Source organism: Homo sapiens, chromosome 2 (genome assembly GCF_000001405.40).
Source record: "Homo sapiens chromosome 2, GRCh38.p14 Primary Assembly".
NCBI classification, from domain to species: Eukaryota; Metazoa; Chordata; class Mammalia; order Primates; family Hominidae; genus Homo; species Homo sapiens.
The window spans coordinates 72738328-72761047 of NC_000002.12; the positions used below are offsets into that span (position 1 = coordinate 72738328).

The following is a 22720-nucleotide window of genomic DNA, read 5'->3' on the forward strand; positions in this document are numbered from 1 at the left end:
AAACCAGAAACCTAAGAGTCATGGGCTCTATTCCAGATATATGAGATACCATATCTCATAAGCATCTCTGCAGTCTGCCCCTTCTTCACCATCTCCTTAGTTTTAGTCTTCCTCATTTTTTAACATGGATTTCAACTTATCATTTTCCCATATTGAATGAAAATTTTGTATTAATGTGTACACTTCAAAACTGAGTTTTCTGATGAACATTCAAAATCGTCAGTTGAAACTGCAGGAAACTTAAAATACAAAGAAAAGCATTTCAGATACTTTTGTCCAGCTGAGGCTCATCAGCCCACAAAATTTAAGGATTACAAATGTATAGACCAATACATAGAAAGACGCACTATTGAGATTCTTTAATATGGTCAGGCATGGTGGTTCATGTGTGTAATAGCAACACTTTGGGAGGCTGAGACGGTCAGATCACTTGAGGACAGGAGTTCAAGACCAGCCTGGCCAATATGGCGAAACCCCATCTCTACTAAAAATACAAAAATTGGCCAGACATGGTGGTACACACCTGTAGTCCTAGCTACCTGGGAGGCTGAGGCATAAGGCACAAGAATGAAAACATTAAAATTATTTATTATCAAGGGATTATTGATAACATTTTGGTATATAGTCTTCTAATCTTCTTTAATGCTTATTTATTTACATGTAAAGTATGTGCATTTAGTTTATAAAAATAGTCATACTGTTCATACATTTTAATCAGCTTTATACATTAAGCAAACATCTCTAATACTTTCCCATGTCAAATATCCTCTGTACTGTAGTTTATTATTATTTCAAATAGATGCACCACAATTTCTTTTAGTAATCCTCTATTAAGTGATGTTAGGAACACTTTCAAGTTTTACCTATTAAAAGAAAACATCATATGAACATCCTTGTACATGCACTTACAGCCTTAGAATAAATCCTAAAATTACGTGGGGTTTTAAGTATTGACACCTTATTGTTTAAATTTGCATTCCTTTAATTTTTTTCCAAATTGTAGAGCTCCTTTGTATTTCTTCTTATGTAAACTGTACGTTATTGTGTATTTCTCATTTTTCTATTAGAATGTTCACATTTTTCCTATTGATTTACCAAGAATCTTCATATATAAGGATATCAACAATTTGCCATATGTGTTTGTAAGTATTTTTTATTATTTGCCTTTTAAGTTTTAATTTGTAGGTAGAATAGGTTCTTTCCTTTTAATGTTGTTACATCTCTCAATTTTTTCTTTCTGGTTTAGAAATTTTGTTTAGAAATGTCTCAAAATAATATAAATATTCACCTATATTTTCTACTAGTTCTTTCATGGTTTTATTTTTTACATTTAACTCTTTAGTTCCTCTGAAATTAATTTCAATATGTTGAATAAGGAAAAGACCTAACTTACTTTAAATGAAAATAGTTAAGCATTAAAGAACATTAACAATAAATCAAAAGACTGTTACCTCTAGAGTAGAGAAAGCAACTGAGAGGGGTACTATTGAGAGATTTAATTATGATGGCAATATAATTTCTTAAGATGGCTGGATACTGTTGTACAGGTCCATAAATTCTTTTTTAAAACCTTAGGACCTAATGTGTTTAAACTTAAGCATTTTGGAAATTTTTTAAAGATATTAAGGTAAATATTGTATATTACATAATACCCCCACCCAATGGGGACTAGGATAGCACCATATAATCAAACATGCTAATATTTCTGCAGCAAAACACAAAAATTCATGCTAAATAAAATAAGAAATTTGATAGCTTCATGTGATTTAGGTCATGAAACTATCTATAATCAATTGAGTTTTTAAATTATTATAGCTTTAGAATACAATATAATGTCTGACAGCCCACTTTGCCCCTTAGTAAAACTGTTTCTTTGCTTTCCTTACCAATATATTTTTTAAACGAATTTTACACTCACTGTCAAGTTAACCCCATGCCCAGGAAAATCCTTTTAGGATTCTAATTCAAATTTCAATAAGAAAAAAAGAATTAAAAGCATAAGGACTTGAAAGAAGAAAATAAAACTGTTATTACTTACAGATCATATGAGGAGTGTTTACATAGAAAACTCAAATTACATATAAATTATTAGAAATAACAGAAGAGCTTACTGAAGTAGTTAGATTTAAGATCAATAAGCAAAATGAGTTATCTAAGATAAGTGACTTTGCTATGCCAGGGACCAGACAAATGTGCCTAGCCTCCTTCCTGGACCTTAATCAGCCACACCAGGAAATAACCTTCATTCTTTGGTAGAAGACCCTCCACAACAACCAACGGTTTTTTTCTTTTGGCCTAGGTGGCATGCTACAAAGAATTTTATAGCAATGCCTTGAAATTCTATCATTCTACAATGATAGCTTTTATCCAGCAAGGAAACAGAAACATGAAGAGTCAAACTGAGTTTCTGTTTAAAAGAACCAGCTACTGATCACTGGTTCTGGTCCACATGTAGTTATCCCAATTAAAATATAACTTTAAAAGGGTAATCTTGGCTGGGCGTGGTGGCTCACGCCTGTAATCCCAGCACCTTGGGAGGCCGAGGCGGGCAGATCACGAGGTCAGGAGATCGAGACCATCCTGGCTAACACGGTGAAACCCCGTCTCTACTAAAAGTACAAAAAAAATTAGCCGGGCGTGGTGGTGGGCGCCTGTAGTCCCAGCTATTCGGGAGGCTGAGGCAGGAGAATGGCGTGAACCCAGGAGGCGGAGCTTGCAGTGAACCGAGATCGCACCACTGCACTCCAGCCTGGGCGACAGAGCGAGACTCCGCCTCAAAAAAAAAAGGGGGGGTGGGTATTGTTTTTAGCTAAAAAGCCATACTCTCAAGAATGTACGTTTCAGTATAAATTCCTTTCTAATTATACAAAAATCTTCACTACAAATATGTGTTCTATGTTATAATCCTTAATCCTTTAATCCTAATCAAAACCCCAACACAGGACGGAGAAACAGTATCTCTTAGAGCCTTCTTACTTTGAGTTTCTGGGCTTCTCCTCTCACTTTCAGCAGTTCAGTTATAGAGTCCACAAAGCCCTGGTAATGAAAGTTGCACATTTTCTCAATTTCTCGGTCGTGATTACGGATACGAGTTTCAAGCTTCTCCATGAAACGTCCATGTTCTTCACCATCATAAACAGACCTTTAAAAAAAAATGGCACGAAGATTATACCATGGTTACTTCTAAGAAGGAAAAACAAAATTATAAATCCAGAAGCAAATTTAGGGCACATAAGCCACAAAATAATCCAACTGTATATTAACATGCCTTATTGTTAAATGAGTATTTTTAAGGAAAATCGAAACTTTTGCTTTCTTATTCATTCCAAAATATTTGACTGCCTGACAGTATTTGTCACAAAATTCTCATCATAAAATTAAAAGACTGAATTACAACTCCCTTGTATCTTTCTTTTTCAATTTAACTAGTCTAGAAAAGCTCAATTTTAGTTAAATTCAACTATCCAATTGCTCCATGAGCATATTCAAGAAATTGAACACAGCTAGAGAAAAAACACACAGCTGTGCTGGCTAGACTCAGGGTAGCCATGTAACTACAAATCTAAATTAGGCAGTCAATATCGCTAGATAATTCTACTACAACCATTCCCCCATCTCACATCCCAGAAAAATCACTTTGTATTCTAAAGTACTTATGTGTGGGAACCTTACCTTGTCCTCTCCTCAAATGTTCATACCTTCAGCCTCAGCTGCTGATCTGACTATATACTTTACAGAAAAAAACAGGCACAAAGAACTACCTCCTCTTCCCTCATTAAAATCAACCAGTCTACTTTACATTTGTAGCTCCTACTCTCCACCCACCAGTAACGATAAAATAAGTGTTCCAAGCTCGTATCTACAATTCAGTCCCTCTTGCTGTCTCAAGAATTTTATTCCTGCAAGTTTTCCCATTTATCCCTCCTTGGTAACATATATTTCTCCCTCTTTACTAGATGATTCTCATGTGTATATAAACATAACTTTTATTTAAATATAATTGTTTTTATTTTTTTAATAAAAGATGAAGTCTCAATATGTTGGCCAGGTTGATCTTGAACTCCTGGCCTTGGACAGTCCTCACACCTTTGCCTCCCAAAGTGCTGAGATTACAGGCATGAGCCACCAAGCACAGCCTATACATGTCTTTTTAAATCCTGCCCTTAACTACACATCCCTCTTCCCTTCCCAGCAAAACTCCCTTCCACTTCCTCACTTCTTTGCCTTACTAAAGTATTCATTGTACTCCACCTAATAGCAGCATTTGATATGGTTTTATATTCTCTCCTTCTTTAAACACTCTCTCCAGTAGACTTCAATGATACCATACTAACATGTTTCTTAACCTCTCACTGATGTGCCTTCTCAATATCCATTCTCAGCTCCTCCTCCTCTATTACATTCCGAAGTATTCCTAAAATCTCTTCTCTTCTCCACCTGTGCTCTCTCATTAAGCGAAGCCATCTAATTCCATGGCTTTAAAATATCATCTCTGTAGTGCTGATTTCCTAATCTATAATTCAGAGCATTTCCCTGAGCACTAGATTCTAATATCCAGCTACTATTTAATTCCAATTGGGTTTTTAAAAGCCATCTCAGTATTTAACGTAGAAAAAAAAGTATTTATTACTAATGTATCTCCACTCCCATACCTGTTCCTCCTCAAATTTCCCAACCGCCTACCCATCCCATCACAGCTAAAGGCACACTATACAATTGCCCAAGCCAAAAATCTAGGAATGACTCCTAATCTATCTCCTTCCATCACATACCCTATCCAATACATTAATAAGTCCTGACAACTCAACCTCCGAAACATGTCTTAACATTTACCATATTCCACCATTTCCACTAAAACACGATCTAAATCTACATTACCACCACAATGGACCAATGCAACAGCCTCCTGACAGTCTCCATTCTGCACTTTCCATCTACTCCACCCCCTGCCCCAAAACAGACACTCCACACAGTAACAAAAATGATCAGAATTAAAATCTTGATTCTTTACTGCTGCCTGTAAGGCCCTACATAATGTAACCTCACATTACCTCTCTAACCTCATTTCTCTCCTTTCTCTAGTTCCCACCCAAATTCCCTTCCATCCTCTAAGTTCCAGCTACCCTGGCTTTTTTTAAAGCCTCTTCCCGCCTCAAGAATTTTGTTTTTGCAGTTCTTATACTAGTAATGCTCATCCCCTATACCTTTGAACAATCTCTTCCTCCTCACCGTCCATGATATGTTGTCTATCTCCGCCTCCCCACAACCCACCTCAACTAGATTGTAAGTTCAAGGGCAAGAATTTTGTCTGTCATACTGTACCTCTATAACAGTGCCAGACAGGTAGTAGACAATAAGTAAACATTCACTGAGTAAAGAATGACTAACACTATCTCTAAGGACTCTTTGATTTCTGACATTTGTTCAAGAAATACTCATTTGCTCATTGCCAACATTTTCTGGTTCTATAATCCTTTCTGGGTACTGGATCACTATGCTGATCCTCTGGATCAGAAACCACACCCCCCACAGGAGGTCAGTTCTACCACCCAAAACTCAGCAGTAGCCATAGATGAAAGGAATAGTCATGCACTGCATAATAATGTTTTAGTTAACGATGGACCACATATATAATGGTGGTCCCACTGTATTATCTAGTGAAGTCATAGGCTTTGTATTGTAGTGCAACACATTACCTTTTCTACATTTAGATATACAAATACTTACCAGTATGTTATAACTGCCTACAGTATTAAGTACAGCAACATACTGTACAGGTTTGCAGCCTAGTAGCAATAGGCTATACCATATAGCCTAGGTGTGTAGTAGACTATATACCATCTAGGCTTGTGTAAGTATACTCTATGATGTTCACACAACAACAAAATCACCTAATGACACATTTTTTAGAACATATCCTCTCTGCTAAGCAACATATGACTGTACATGTTTGGCTTCCAGTCAAGATTCTGAACACTTACTTCAGAAAAGGCAGAGCAATCTGGATTCATTCTCCTTCCTTTGAAATAAAGGGAGATTGTCAAATAAATTATAAACAATCTCTGCTTTGACAAGTAGGAAAACTGTAGAATAACCACTTGCCTGAAAAAGCTGTTTGGAATACATAAGAGAATCTACCGTTGACATTTCAAGTAATCTCAAATAAGCTTAACTTTTCCCCCTTTCAAAGGAAAGGAAAAGAAAGGTTTCCATGTAAAGATACTGATTTACCTTGACACTTGGAGAACGTGAAGAATCACCGAAAACTCCTCAATATAAATTGCATAAGCTGATATATTATTCAATAGTAGACAATCTCTTGGTTTCAAATTCAGTACACCCTGACTTGACTCAATATACTTCTAAGTTAAATGGCAAGTATAGTTCATTCTACTGGGTAAAACTTCTTTTCATTTCTTCCCTCCAGAGATCTACGGTAACGTCACAAAAGACAACCTCACAGAAAAGCAAATTCCAAAGTTAAGAAATGCAGAACTTATATTAATAATGCCTCCCTAGGCTCTCTGATCTTCCTATTTAAAGAAAAAAAAAATCAAAAACCTAAGAAAGGAAATGTGGATTTTAGCTGCCTGACTATGTGGCCTTCATCTTAGCACTGTAATTAGCTTGCTATATATAGGTCTTTGGCCAATCCAGTTAATCTCTCCGACCCTCAACTTTCTCATCTAGAAAATAGGAAGCAATCAATTACAATTCTCTTAAAAGTACTAGCTTAGCTTTAAGTATCTACAGTTCGCCTCCACTTTCAAGTTTAGTCAACAATGCTAAGATCATACATTTGTAGAATAGTATAAATAGGCAGTAGTTCAAAACAAGTTAATGGATCAGGGGTGGTGGCCCACACCTGTAATTCCAGCACTTTGGGAGGCCAAGATAGAGGGATTGCTTTGAGGCCAGGAGCTTGAAACCAGCCTGGTCAACATAGTGAGATCCCATTTCTTTAAAAAACAAAATAAAACACAAGTTAATAAAGTTTCTACCTGCTTATCACTACTCTCCATCTGTTACTCCTATCTTAGGACCATTATGATTGTAATATTCTCTTTAATTATTATGCAGAATAACATGAAAGGTTTGCAGTAGATCGCCAGAGTATTTTGAGAATTAAAAAAAAAGAAAGAATAAAACGTAAAACACCCATATTTAAAACAGGGGATAAAGACTATATTTAAAAGACTTTGTGTTCCATAGGTATGTTTCAGGAAATCCATGATTCCCAGATCCTAGGTGGATTTTGTATATATAGGTAGATGTACATATATGCATTTTTAAGAAAAAAAGTTTCCAATAGTTTCCATCTGGTTACCAAATAGGTTAAAAACCACAAATTTAAAGATTTTATTTCAAATTGTCTACCAAAGGAAGAGGCAATTATGACTGATCACTACCTAACAGTTCACCATGAATCAGCATTTCAAGCACATTTAAATATAACACTTTGCTAACCAACATATCCATCAGATATAAAAGGCTAAAAACAAAAATAAACAAGACTTAAACACTGAAAAGGTCAGAAATTTACTACTGAAGCTAATCTAATATCAGTAGTCAACAATGCAGTCGAACAAAGTGTGGCATTTTTTTCTTTTAATACCTTAAGGTAGAGAAAGACTGCCATCTAGTGATGGCCCTTTTCTAACATTCCTTGAAATGATGTGGCCTTACAAGTAAACAGGACCGCTTAAAAATCTAAAAACTATATTCCATAATACCTGTTGGTCAGAGACTTATAGCTGATTACTAAATGATATGTAAGGTACTCTAATGTTTAAATTTCCATTACTATTAGAAAGCAGGATCTTGAGAACAAAGGCATAGGTTTTTGACATGTCCAGGTTATGTTGCAGTTAAACAAGACAATCTATGGAATAAACTGCACCACTAGTTTAATTATTTGTGATAATCTCAATAATATTCTTAGTAAAGTATATACTTTACTATAGTACTTAGTAAAAGGCAAACAAGAAGAAATATATGGAAATTAACTAAACTTTTTATAGCCTAAATTTGACTCAACTAAATAAATGCTGCCATGTGGAGTCTGGTTTCCAAAAACCCCCAAATAAACCACCGGTTTGTGCAAAAAGTAAATTATTTATCCTCGTATAACTATCTGGTGCATAGCTCTAGATTTCATAATGATACTATATCCATAGCCCACCTAAATTTCATGTGCATATTAAGAGATCTTAATTTATAAAATGGCACTTGAGTAATTCTGTTGAACAAATATTTACCATTCACCTGTACCAAACCACTACAGGATTATATCACTTGCTTAGAGCCTATATTAATTCAAATTTGCTTGTCAAAGAAGGAGGAAAAATAATGTTATAAGCATTATTTCATTTAAATCCAATGCATCTTATAAATTAGACATTATTCCCATTTTATAAATGAGAAACCTGTAACCCAAGATGAAGCAACTTGCCAACTTCACATAGCTAGAAAGTGTCCTCTCTACTGCATCAGTCTATCTCTTTGAACAAGGAAAGCAAGCAGGTGGCATGGGCCCCCAAAATGTTAGTTGAAACAGGTCTTAGAGATGGAAGACAAAGCTCTCATTGTACACTCAAGGAAACTGAGGCCCAGGCAAGTTAAATGCCTTAATCAAAATTAATTGCTTGCTACGATACAATTAGGCCTGACCCCCAAAGAAAACAGAAAAAGCTAATGCAATATGAAGCCCAACACAAAGCTAAGTGGTTTAAAAAGAGAGAGAGAGAGACAAACTTCTACTTCAAGATGAGTAAGTTGCCTATTAGTTGTGCCTACACAACTATTCTCTTCTTCCTCCTATTGGAAGAGTCCCAATTCATTCTGATATTTCTGTCCTACCACAAAGGATAAATATTAATTAGTCTGTAAACCAATCATGGTAATTGCATTCTCTTTGTGAGTGACCAGTTAATATATGGTGGTCAGTGACACACTTATCTCACCAATGAGAAGGAAAATCTGGCAGTGAGGATCCAAGAAAAGGTTTTCTTTCCTGAAGCATTCAGGAAAAGAAACTGCTTTTCCTGCCTTAGACATTGTCCTGTGAAAGCATAATGTTTGAGGATGCAGTAACCATTCTGAAAAGGAAGAAGATATTGCCCAAAAAATCTTAGAATGGCAAAGGGGAAAATGGAAAACACTCGGCTCTTTGATAGTGATGCAATCCTGAAACAGCCCTATCTCCAAACATCATGTTATATGACTTAATAAATTTCCCATTGTTTAAGCCACTTTCCCTTGATATTCTGCTACTTGCAAAGGAAAGTATCCTAAATGATGCAACATTGTTCAGTCTTCAAAGGTAACAAGCAAATCAAAGAAACAACCAAGAGCAAGTCAGAGTCTACACACTTTACAAAGCAATCTTGTTCCCTGGACCTAGGCCATTCTTCTCCTTTTGCTTCTAGTTTAGTTAAGAGTAACTCCCATTTGCCTCTCAATTTTCAGCTTGCACCTTTTCTGGGAAACCTTCCCTAATCACATAGATTCTATTATGTGCTCCTCCTCGGTGATTATCATTTTTACAGAATTTATTAAACTATATCTGATTGTCCATTCACTTGCCAATCTCCCCATACTAGAATGCTAATCTCCTTGTGGGGAGAGACTATGTCTTACCCATTTTATCTCTACCTGCTGGCACACAGCCTGGCACAGAGGAGGTCCTCCATATAAGATGAAGATGGAAAAAGGTAGGAGACTAACTGATGAGGATTTCTAGTTGTTTCAGAGGTGGATGCAAAAGTGTATCCCATGATACAAAGCATTTCTGTTGAGATGTTTTCAGAACCACGGAGAACTTCAAGACACAATGAACTGAACATTTTGGTTTTTGTTTTTGATTAATTCAAGGAAAAATTCCAGAGTTTATTCTGGTCTTTTCTTTTTCATATATATGTTTTTAAACTTCTGTCATGGTTTTATTCCTCAAACATTTTCTTCTCATTAAGCTCCATAAAAGCATCATTAGTATTTTTGTTTATTCCAAATGTTAAAAATAAAGTGGAAAAACAGATTTGTGCATGATGTTGAAAGAGAAACTGCAGGAGGTCAAAAGGAGTTTAAAGTCCCTTCTCCTTACTTCAGTTTGTCTATCAGTTTAATTCCAACCTTAGTATTGTAATCTGGATGCTCTGGGTGCATAACGATGAAGGAGATCAATCAGATCATCATCAATGACAGGAGAAGCATATGCTAGTTAACATGAATTCTAACTGAACACTATACCCAAATATTTTTGTACTGCCACAGGAGATCAAATACATTCAAATCCTTTTTCCAGCTCTGAAGATACCAAGGTATCCAACTGGCTTCACACAAAGATAGCCCATATAACCAAAAGAATGCTGTGATGCAGATTTCTCTCAAGGCAGGAAGGGAACCCCAATGATGGCTATTTCCAGAGGAATAAAAGCAGGGTGGAGCAGCTTCAACTGACACCTAGCCAAAGGGCCTACTAAAACCTGGTTTTGGTTAAATACCACAGGAAAGTGGAGAAGGGGGAATTGTCCCAAAACATCAGTCAAATCAACAACAGACTATTAGGAAATAAACTAATGAAAACAAGGAAACTCCAAATTAAGAACATAGAGACTGCCATAATTGCTACTATGATAATGTCACACTATTAGAACAAGTAATCACCAACAGTAACTGAAGATATAAAGGCAAAACAGGATTATTAGTGGCTTCACTTTGTCCTTTGTATCTATTTGTGTTAGGTGCAAAAAGATTTTATTTCATTGTATCTTTCAGTGGTGGTCATGAAATCTGGCAGATAAAAGTTAGATCATGAATGTTGCTGCTAATTATAAGATAAGATATAAAAAAGTACCTCTACAGCCTGGTGATACTTATTGACTCTAACCTAGAAAACTGCTGAAAGCAGAGTACTAATACAGTTGTTTAGGAGTTATAATACACTTGGTAGGTTAGCTCTGGTCTCACTGCATGTAATTCAGTGTGTTAAGTTTAACACTTAAACATGTGATGTTGGAGCTAGATGAAATGACCAGTTCACTTAGTATCTATCATCAACATAATGAGTCTGAATCTAGGGCATGTTGATAAAACTCTTCCAGATTCTTTACAAAAGATATTCAGTAGCAGGGTGGTGCAAAAGTAATTGCGGTTTTGCCATTACTTTTAATTTTTGCCATTAAAGCGGAAAGTAATTGCAGTTTTGCCACTACTTTTAATGTTTGCCATTAAAAAAATCACAAAACTGCAATTACTTTTGCACCACCCTACATATTTAATTAAATAATTACTCTGAAGACATATGCAAATATTAAGAGACTGTGTATTAAGTATTGAAACATGATTCTACTGAGAGAAAAAAGAAAAATGAATAATTTTTGGAACACTTCGGTCTCCACACTTAAAATTATCATTATGGTTCTGATGATAGGTATCATTAAGCTATTAACAGAGAAAGACAAACCAATAATGGTTAACACTAGTATGGTAGAAACACAGCAGTGAATAGCCATGATCCACTTATGCATGTAGATTTAATGTGGACTTAACAAAATAGACCATGCAAGTTTCCTAGAATCTCTGAATCAAACCCTAATAAATGTAAGTAACCTCATTTGTAGATGTATATGTTATGTATACTATATATATAAATGCATGTATTATATATAGTATATATGCTATATATGTGGGTGACACATATATACATATACATACCTCACACACACACATACCTACACACACACAAACACACACACACACTTTTTTCTAATTTTCTGAGAAAGAACCAGACCTAACAACACCACATTCAACTCCTGGTCCAATTTCACCCGTAAGTGGTTGTTTGCTGATACCCCATGGCCAAAAGTGACCACAATTTAAAACTCTTTAACTCTATAAGCAATTAAGTACATGAAAGAGGATGGATGGAAAGGCATCAGAGTAGTTTCCATCCTAAAACATAATAAAGAACAAAGCAGGCAAAATAGGATGAAGTTCCATGAACCGTATGGAAGATTGGATACACTGTGAAAAACATTTCTACTATCAAACTCCTAATCACCTCTAACCACCTCTAACCTAATCTCTCTAATCACCTCTGACCTAATGCTTCTATTTTATAGCCATACAGAGAAAAAGAGACATGGCCTATTGCCCACACAAGATGGGGAGTCAAATCAGAGGCCTTCAAATGAATGAAGCGAAGATACCCCAGAATACATCATTAGTAAAAGATAAAATAGAAAAACACTTCCTCATAAAGGGAGACTGCAAGTAAACTTGCCTATCTGGTGTTAGCTCTGGGTGAGGGAAGGAGAAAACTCCCATGATAATTTGAAAGCACATGCCAGCCTTCTCACAGAAGGGAGGTCTACACTCATACTATCAATCTTCTGTGGTCTGAGAAATCTCAACTGACAATTTATTTTTAAAGTAGTCCCAGCATGGTTGTTAATACCCTCAAATAACCAACTGAAGCAAAGGCAAATCTTCTCCAGAGAAATATACCTTAACCTATACTTCTAGGAATTCTCACAAATAATACTCCATTGAACTGGAACTTAAGTATCAAAAGTCATAAAACATACAAGGAAACAAAGTATAAAAACAAGAATCAGAAGAAACACAAATAGCAAAATCAGGCTTGCAATGGCTTAAAATTAATATGTATACATTAAAAATAAATGTGTAAGATGTTTAAAGAAATATAAAAAGGAATTACCAAGAAAAGAAAAAAAAACTATCAAAAATGAATATATGAACCCAAAATATCTGAGACAGGTCTCAGTCAACTTACAGAGTTTATTTTGCCAAGGTTAAGAACACACCTGTGACATAGCCTCAGGAGGTCCTGATGACATGTGCCCAAGCTGATTGAGATACAGCTTGCTATTATACATTTTAGAAAGACATAATACATCAATCAATACATGTAAGATTTAGATTGGTATGATCTGGAAGGGCAGGACAATTTGAAGTGGGGAAGGGCTTCCAGGTCATACGTAGATTTAAAATTTTTCTGATTGGCAACTGGCTGAAAGAGTTATTATCAGTAGAAAGGAATGTCTGGGTTACAATAAGGGGTTGTAGAGACCAAGGTTTTATCATGCAGATGAAGCCGCCAAGTAGCAGGCTGCAGAGAGAATAGACTGTAAATGTTTCTCATCAGACTTAGATTTTCAGGTTAACTCTGGAATGCCCTTGACCGAGAGGAAGGGTCCATTGAGATGGTGGGGGCACCTTAAAATTTTATTTTTGGTTTACAAATAGATAATCTGGAAATGAAATATAGAACTTTTAGAATAAAAACTATAACAACTGTTATTTGAAACAAGAAATGGAAAGGAAAATACTTAACTAGGAGGTGTATATATAAACAGTACAAAATGCAGAAAGACGAAAGACGGAAAACACTAAAGAAGAGAATGGAGAATACAATGGGTTTAATGGGAGCTCCAGTAAGAAATAAGAGGCAGGTAAAATTTTTTTAAAATAGTTGTGAAGTTCCTAGAATTGATAAAAGATGTAATGAAGTTGTGATCCTCAAAATAAAAAGACATAAGCCTTACCAAAAGCAGCCCCATCTCTGCTCAGTTACATCTATCAAACATTTAGAACTGGCTGCCTATTTATCCCTTCTCTTCATAGCTAAACTTTGGTAGCATGCAGAAGCTTGCTATGATGGAGCTAATTATATAAATATATGGACCCCTAGACCCATGCAAACTTTTGGTATGTCTTTTATCAGCTCATTCTTCCATTACTTACAGCATCATTTCCAAACTGTCACCATTCTCTTTAAGATGCCAATCTCAATCCTACAACTGCCTTTCACAATAAATGGTGTTGTCATGTATTACATTTAAAAAATTCAGGCTTATTAGGCACAAAATATTCTTAACTTCTTGCATTCCAATACACAAATCTGTCTATATCTCTGTCTACCCTGATATTTGTTCCTTCTTATCTCTATGAAATAGATAGGTCATCTCAATGCAAGACTAATCCTATGTTCTAAAAATCTCATATATCTTCCACTCCAGGAAGGTTATTCCATCAATACTTTCTTTGGTGGGGGGAAGCTGATTTCTTTCGAAACATGCCCCCATCTTAACAAAACAACACAGCCCATTATTTTAAAGAAAAAAAAATGCACTAAATGAAAATCTCTCTTCTGATAAATTTCCTTCTGGCATCCTTTCCCTTCCCTTTCTCTCTCTCACTCTCTCTCTCTCTCTCTCTCTCCCTCCTTCCCTCTTCCCTCCCTCCCTCACCCCTGCCTTTTCTCAGTTAAGATCTTAAAAGAGCACACTATACTTACTGCCTCCATTTCCTCAAATTAGACTCGCTCTTCAAACCAGTGTAATCTGTTTCTTACCTATAACCACTCACAATGAACATATTCTTGCTAAAGTCAATAAAAGACTATTAATTGTCAAATCAAATATTCACTTTTAATTTCATCATTTACTTGACTCCACTTTTGTATGTGCCACCATGAACTATCCCCTCTTTTTAAAATCTCTATTCCCACGGCTTCTATTACACTCCTTCTTGGTTCTCCCCATTCTCAGTCTCCTTCAATAATTCTTCTTCTTCCCTCTACCCCTGAATACCTCCTTGACCACTTCTTCTCACTCTTCACATATATATATACCCTCAGAGATCTCATCAATACCTCAGTTGTTAGTATTAAACAAGTCTGGTTACCAAACCAATAATACCAGGATATATCTCTGTCAAGTCCTATAAACCTGACTCAAAGACATCGCAAACCGTGCATGTCAAAAACTACTCGGCTGGGCATGGTGGCATGTACCTATAGTCCCAGCCACTCAGGAGGCTGAAATGGGAGGATCTCTTGAACCCAGGAGTTCAAACCCAGCCCAGATAATATGGCAAGGGGCATGTCTCTTGAATTAAAAAAAAAAAAAAAGAATTTAACTTTCTACCCAAACCCACATTTCACTCCTAGTATTCACCATCTCAATTGAAGATAACACCAGCCACTGAGTTACCTAAACTAGAAATATGTACATTAACCTTGACACCTCACTTCACCTCACACCTCCTCATAACTAGTCACCAAGACCTACCGCTTCTAATTAAATAATGGCTCTTCTATGCTCTTTCCCCTCCCTATTCTCCCCAGCTACTGCCTTGACTCATGTCCTTATCATCTCTCTTCTGAACACTGTTTTTATCACTTTCCCCTTATATTCGTAACAATCCATCTTCAATACTTCTTTGACAGTAATTTTTTAAATGAGACCTTGTACTTGGAAATTGAAAGACAGAAATACACACACATACACACAACTTCAGGATCTTGTTTCAGGATCAAGTCCAAAGTCCCTAGCATAGTATGTAAGATGCCCTCCATGTCCAGCATTATCTCTGAATACTCCCCACATTCACTCTACAACTCTACTTGAAGTTCCTTGAGTGTAGCATGTATTCCCTCTGCCTGCAATGTCCTTACCATCACTTCTCTGGCAAATTCCTACTCATCTTTCAAGGTTCAGCTCAAAACTCAACTCTTTCCTAAAACGTCTCTCCTTAATACAACTACTATAACCTGATACAGAAGCTCCTTACCTTTTTAGTTTTTAGGATTTGTTTTTGTTTTTGTTTTGAGACAGGGTCTCACTCTGTGTCCCAGGCTCAATCGATCCTCCTGCCTCAGCCTCCTGAGTAGCTGGGACTACAGGCAGGCACCACCATGCCTAGCTCATTTTTTTGTAGAGACAAGGTCTCACTATGTTGCCTGGGATGGTCTCAAACTCCTGGGCTCAAGCAATCCTCCCACCTCGGCCTCCCAAAATACTGGGATTACAGGTGAGAGTCACCATGCCCAGCTCAGAAGCTGCTCTTCTTACCAACAAGGTAGAACACAAGAAACTGCTTTGGTTCATAAAACCAAAGCAGCCACGAAGAGCTTAAGCTTGCATACTCTGGAGGAATTTATACCAAACAAGATCATGAGTCCATTCTTTAAAGATTCAAATTCAATACCATTTTTCTCCTACTTGCTGATATGAGGCATCTTTTCCCAAATGACACCAATTTCTTTTTTTTTCTTTTTGGTAGAGATGAGGTCTTGCTACATTGCCCAGGGTACTGTCAAACTCCTAGCCTCGAGCAATCCTACCACCTCAGCCTCCCAAAGTGCTGGCGTTATAGGGTGTGAGCCACCACACCCAGCCAAATTTAATCTACAATAACAGTCTCTTGCAGCATGTATTAGTCTAGTTCTATGTATTTCATTTTTTTAATAGCTTTTTTTTTTCTTTTTTTTTTTTTAGAGACAGTATCTCACTCTGTTGCCCAGGCTGGAGCACAGTGGCACAATCATGGCTCACTTACAGCCTCTAGCTTCTGGGCTTAAGGGACCCTCTAGCCTCCGCCTCCTAAGTAGCTGGGATTACAGGCATGCACCAACACAAGCAGCTAATTTTTTAAAATTTTTTTTTGCAGAGATGGGGTCTCACTATGTTGCCCAGGCTGGTCTCAAACTTCTGGGCTCAAGCGATCCTCCCACCTTGGCCCCCCAAACTGGTGAGATTACAAGTGTGAGCCACAGTGCCTGCTCATAGTCTAGTTCGATAAGGAATATATTTAAAAATCTATTTTTTTTAATGAAACAAAATCTATTGAAGCACCTAGCCCTATCCTTGATAAGGAGTGTATGATAAGGATATAGGATAAGAATTACTCCTTAACAGTCATGGTATAATCATTCACCAACTGGCTCTCACTTTGACACTGTATAAATTTGAACTGGCCTTGAACCTATGAAGCCATATGTGGTTTGAGGTGAATTTCACCAGGAGTACTGTCATCTTGTTTTGCCTCAAAGTTCTTGAACAAATGCCTAGTATTATCCAGAAGTTACATTAGGATAATGGGCCTAGAAATGAATGGGCACCACTACTAATGATATTTACTGGTGGAAAGCACAGTTCATGTCCTTTTGCTTTGAAATGTTTATTTGTTCATATTTTTGAAAGGGTACTACGGTGAACACTCTATACAGTAATGATTTATTTACATGTCTATCTCCCCTATAAGACCATGAGTTCCTTGAGAGTTTACACCTGGAACAATGGCTGTATCCCACAGAGAAAGCATTATAAAGTGACAAAGAGCCAAAGCAGTGCCCAAAAATGTTTCAACATTTCATCTTACCCCAAAGAGAAGCACTAGAGTTCAATAATAAATATTTTTACCAAAAAGTTAATTCAAGTTCTAGCAGTGCAAATAATTTGCACTTCAGCTAAAATGTTAAACAGAAAAAGAAAGAAACAGAGGAAGAAAGGAGAAATTTAGATGGCTAAAGGAAATCTATTGTAGGAGGAGAGTAGTGTCTGGCAATAATTTGTTATTTCCCTAGCTCTCCTCTAACCTCCTCTGGAAGCTAGGAGAAGGAAGATGATTAAACTGCAACAAGACCTGGCTCTGAAGAGAACTGATGTTTCTGGCCCTTGTTGCCAACAGAAGGGGGAGGGTGACAGCAGTCCCTACGGGCTTTTAGAAAAAATTGCTTCCAGGTGGAAATTTTTTATGGTACTGAGCAGCCTGGAGCCATTTTTGGCTTTACTTCTTAACTACTGATGATTAAACCATGGACAATCAGGCTGCAACAATGGAAACAGACAGCTCTCAAACATCATGGTTATATGCTCCAAATTACAAAGTTAACTCTCAAAGGAGAGAAACATTTTGTTGGCAAAATCTTTTTTTAAGGGGGACGTTTTTAACTGTGTTGGGGCGGGGGTTGTCAGGTGGAGTCTGTTAAAGATTTATATTTGGTAAAACATAAAAGTAGCCAAGAACTCTGTATCATAATGATAAACATCAGTCCCATGCCAAACCTAGACACTGTAATGCAGAGTCATAGGGAGCTGAACAAAGGACAATGCTAAATGTCCTGGTATTTCAAAATTTTTCATTACTTTATTTTGGCCTGGATTAAGCATTCTATTAAATGATTATCATAGATGTCTGTAGGGAAATCCAGCCACACAACATGTGGGACAGCTAAGTCGATTTATAACCTAATCATGGTTCTGAAAAAAGTTGTGATATATATTTCTGAGTTTGGAGTGATGGCTCAAGAACATTAGCAGAAAAAAGTTACTTATAGTACCAACTCATATGAAAAGCAAACAAAAACAGAGACCAATTATTTGACCACCCAGTAATTTAATCTATGCTATTTTATTACTGCACTATCATCCATACCATTAAAGGTTAAATTCAGCCCAAAATTATAAAATAGTAGTAAAAGTAAGCATTTTTAAAATACGTGCCAAATCCTGTTAAACATTTTATATTCACTAACTCACTTATTCCCCAAATATAATCCTAGCAGAATAGTTATTATCATCATTTTGCACATGAAGCAACCTTTTTCACATTGCCAGTACATAGAAGCATTTACCTTTCCCAGGTTGCCACAGTTATATAAAGTATAATAAAATGAAGGAAAAAGGATGAGGGAAAGGAAAAGGAAGATGAGTAAAAGGAAGAGGAAGAGGAGAGTAAGAAGGAAGGTGAGGTGAAGAAACAGATGTAAAACTATATACACATTCAATATAAAGATAAATATGTTCAAATATTTTAATTCAATTCTATAGAAAACAATCAAGGACAGAAAGAAAACCAGCAAACTAATACAATGTTTAGATGATGCAATTCTGAATTTTTTCTATTTCTGTATTACTTTATCTATTACTTAAATAAACATGTATTGCTTTTCCAACTGAAAAAATAAAATGCATTTAAGAATCTAGAATAGTAACTGGTTCATAGTAGATGCTCAATAAAATATTACTTAAAATGAAAACCAAACAACAACAAAAATTCAGTGTAACTACAAGTCTAATTTTCAATAATTATCTAAAATAAAATAAATGCTTAAAACAATAATGTGGCGGTTAACAATAACAAAATGGAGTCACTTATGTCAAAACTTTAACCAAAATGAAGTCGGGGAAGGCCATAAAGAAACTCTCTCCCTTGCATTCCTGAAATATCTGGACATCTTGTTAGTACTTGTACACAGAGCAAACAGAGATTATCACAGGAATTTCCTCTGGCCTACAGTATTTCAGATAAGACATTCAGACCTGGACAGTTGCCTAGCAACAGCTATCTCCCCAAATGAATTAGTGCCAACCCCTGCAATGTGTCCCTGAGACCAATGAGCTTTGTTTCAAAGCAGTTTGTGTAAATTTCTCTTTGTCTTTAAAAATTTCCAGTTTGTCCCAGTTTTCCTCATGTGGGCCCATGATTTTCATAGCATGTACACCCTAGGTTGCAAGCCTTTGCTATTACCAAATAAACTCTTTTGTTCTAGACAGCCTATCTCTCTGAGTTTCTTTTTTAGGTTGACAAATGAAATGAAAACTCCTTCTCAGGATCGATCCCTCACAAACCCAAGAAGCAATCACCACTGGTCAGAATTTTTAAAATTCAGTGTCTTTTCCATATTCTAACTTCCTCTTGTAATTAATCATGATATCAAAATGGTTTTAAAACATACATATGGGCCAGGCACAGTGGCTCATGCTTGTAATCCCAGCACTTTGGGAGGCCGAGGCAGGAAGATTGCTTGAGCCAAGGATTTCGCAACCAGCCCGGGCAACATAGCAAGATCCCAATCTCTACAAAAGGTTATAAGAATTAGCTGAGCATGGTGGTGTGTGCCTGTGGTTCCAGCTGTTCAGGAGGCTGAGGAGGGAGGATCACTTGAACCTTACAGGTCGAGGCTGCAGTGAGCCATGTTTGCACCACTGCACTCCAGCCTGGGTGACAGAATGAGTGAGACTCTGTCTCAAAAAAAAAAAAAAAAAAAAAGTACATATATTTGATATCCTGAAATTCTTAATTTGAGAATTGATGTAGCAGATTCCTAGATCCCTTCCACTGCAACTACAGAACCCATAAGTTAATGTTATTTTATTATCCCTCAAATGGGAAGGGGAAAGAAGAGAGTAGCTTCAATGGTTATTATGATGGAATCTCTGTTCTATTACTAAATAACTTGATTTGTCAACTGAAAAAGTAAGCCACTTTCTTTTGCTTCCTAGTCCACTTACAAGATATGCAAAAAAAAAACTCCCTACAAACATCATAAAGCTATTTACAAAGAAACATTTTAGACAAAAATAAATCTGGTCCCCCTCCTCTCACATCATAGGTGCCATGTTTCCATTAGGAAACAATTTTGTGTGTTTTTTCTAGAAGCATTTGTCTGAGGACAGTATAGACTAGCCCATTTTAATAAACTCTTTAACATTGAAGTGTACAGGGAAAAAAGGAACCTCAGAGATGATCCAGCCCAATTTCACAGACATAACAAATTTTCCAGCTATGTCCATAAATACTAGTCCAAGTTCTGCTGGAACATCTCTAGTAAAAAGAAGTTCACTGCAAAGCAACCAATCCCATTTCAACAGCTGTTGCAAAGTTCTTATAGAAAACTAAAACTTACCTTTCTATAATTTTCACCATTTATCTTATTTTTGCCTTCAAAGGACCAGTGAGAACAAGTCCTTGATCCCTTTTTCTCCTTCTCCAGACTAAACAATCTCAAATTATTCAACTATTCTACATATAAACAGCCTTTCAATTGTAGTTTTACCCTCTGGACATGTTCCAGCAGTCACTTTTCTTTAAGTGTAACAACAAAGGCAGTATAGCACAGTGGGCAAGAACACAGGCTTCATAGCCAGACTTTCAGGATTTGAGCCTTAGTTCTACCACTTAATAGTTGTGTGATCTTGGGCAAGTTTATTAAACCTCTGTATACTTCAGTTTCCACATCAGCAAAATGCAGATAATGGTAGGAACCAATTCATACAGTTGCTGTGTGAAGATTAAATGAGATAATGTAAGAATTCTGAACAGTACCTGGCATACAGAAAGCATTCTATAAATATTAAAAATTTTTAAATCAAGCATGGTCAAATGAGAAAAATAAGGCCCATCTCCTTTAACCTTGTTACTTAGCTCCTATTAACAGCCTAATACTAATGCTTATGCAGTTTTGACAGTCATATCATGCTATATATTGAACTCAGAGTCATAAAATTTTTCCATGTGTTTTTCCATATTGCTATAGGCATGTAGTTGATACTCTGAATCTACAATTTACTACTATTAACTATGGTTCATTTTTCCAGTCTTGTGAGACCTTTTGGGACAATGACTTTGCCATTTCAACTTTTCATTTCAATGTTTCCCTTTGTTAAGTAGGTACAGAAAGATTTTCACAAAAGAAAAAATCCACGTGGGAAAGGGCAGAAACCCAAAAAACTCTAGAATCTAAGACAGAAGAACTGAAGAACCCTGGCATGCACCAACATTTAAACGGAGATTTGCTGGTTTCCAATTTTAACGGGGAAGACTGTTAATCACAAAACATCAAGTAGAGACTTGAAAAAGTTAATATTGATTCTTTAGAAAAAGTCCAGGAAATAGAAAAAGCCACCAACCTCACTTCCTTAAGCCAATATTCAGCCCCCTAACTGTGTCCAACTTGGAGAGAATTTGCCACAAGCCAAAGCTTTTAATGTCCCTACCTTTTGAAGGCACAGTAGTAACAATTCCCAGAACAAGGGAGTTGCGTCAGTGAACTCTCTGCTCTTTCAAGTTGGAAGGACAGTTGATTCACACCATGTGTCAGAGAGAAACACCAGTGAAAACCAAGTGAGATAAATTTTAGGTCTCCAGAGCTGTTTAATATTAAGCTGTATTAAATCATTGTTATAGCAAATTATAAACAAAATATTTTGTTTACCCTTCCTCTCATATGCTCCTTCTCTTGAAAAGAAATTTTAAGATAATTCATAGTTCCAAGGTCACAGATGCTCCACCAAAAAAAATCATTTCCAAATGTTAGCATCCAGAACCAATGATCTGGATCATACTCCCAGCAAACTTCCCTGGCATATCATAGAGTAAGCTTTGCTACATAACCTTTTAGGTTTCAAGACAGTGTTAGTTTACTGATGGTCACAGACTTAGAGGAAGACTTCACTTTTGTCAACTGTCTCTACATGAAGTCATCTTAGTGTCCATTCTATTCAATAATTTTACTTTCTACTTAGATCAAGAAATCAACTATATGTTAAACTCCATAAATAATACTAAGTTGATTTTGTTTTTAATACTATGAATGGTACGACTAAAACGTGAAACATGTAATAATGTTCATCAAATGTCTGACCTGAAATGAGCATGTAGACAAGTTAATTTAACACTGAAGAAGAAAAGAAAAAAGACCTGAAACAACCTTGATCTACATGAATTTATTTGAAAAAATGGTCCTAGAGCAATGAAAATAAAATTTAACACAAGTGATAACAAAACTCAAACCATAAAAGTTGAGGAAAAACTAAACCAACAATACAAATATTTTAAGATAAAGCTTAACATGTTAAGAGACATCTTTCTGAAAAGAGAGACCACTAAAACTGCATGATTAGTTCAATACAAGGAATTAAAAAATTACAATGGGTAACTGTGGAAAGCAAATTTCACTTCTCTCAAAAATGACATATGATGCCAGGCAGGGGGGCTCATGCCTGTAATCCCAACACTTTCGGAGGCTGAGACAGGTGAATCACCTGAGGTCAGGACTTCAGGACCAGCCTGGCCAACACGGCGAAACCCCATCTCTACTAAAAATACAAAAATTAGCTGGGTGTGGTGG

At 36.3% G+C, this 22720-nt stretch overlaps 1 protein-coding gene and 1 non-coding gene across 12 annotated transcripts in view, besides 1 other annotated feature; one reads left to right on the plus strand and one right to left on the minus strand.

The window, feature by feature from the left end:
* EXOC6B (exocyst complex component 6B) overlaps nt 1-22720 on the minus strand; it is a 650050-nt gene that overhangs the window by 562344 nt on the left and 64986 nt on the right. For 10 of the 11 annotated variants that reach the window (NR_135774.2, NR_135773.2, XR_007071495.1 and 7 more), the window contains exon 2: nt 2977-3142. The exons of the other annotated variant lie outside the window; for it this stretch is intronic. Coding sequence is in view for 7 of the 10 variants with exons in the window: in NM_001321733.2 (NP_001308662.1) it covers nt 2977-3142 (166 nt within the window). In the remaining 3 variants the exon portion in view is untranslated. The remainder of the gene's footprint in view (nt 1-2976; nt 3143-22720) is intronic. 11 annotated transcript variants of the gene reach the window in all.
* Nucleotides 12735-13579: an enhancer, noted in NCBI's record as "OCT4-NANOG hESC enhancer chr2:72978191-72979035 (GRCh37/hg19 assembly coordinates)". NCBI's record gives its function as "activates a minimal SCP1, AML or CMV promoter by ChIP-STARR-seq in naive and primed H9 embryonic stem cells {active_cell/tissue: H9 hESC(naive and primed)}" and the evidence as "EXISTENCE:reporter gene assay evidence [ECO:0000049][PMID:30033119]".
* LOC124900538 (small nucleolar RNA SNORD78) lies at nt 22207-22275 on the plus strand. The gene has a single exon (XR_007088729.1). It is a non-coding gene; the product is annotated as a small nucleolar RNA SNORD78 (small nucleolar RNA).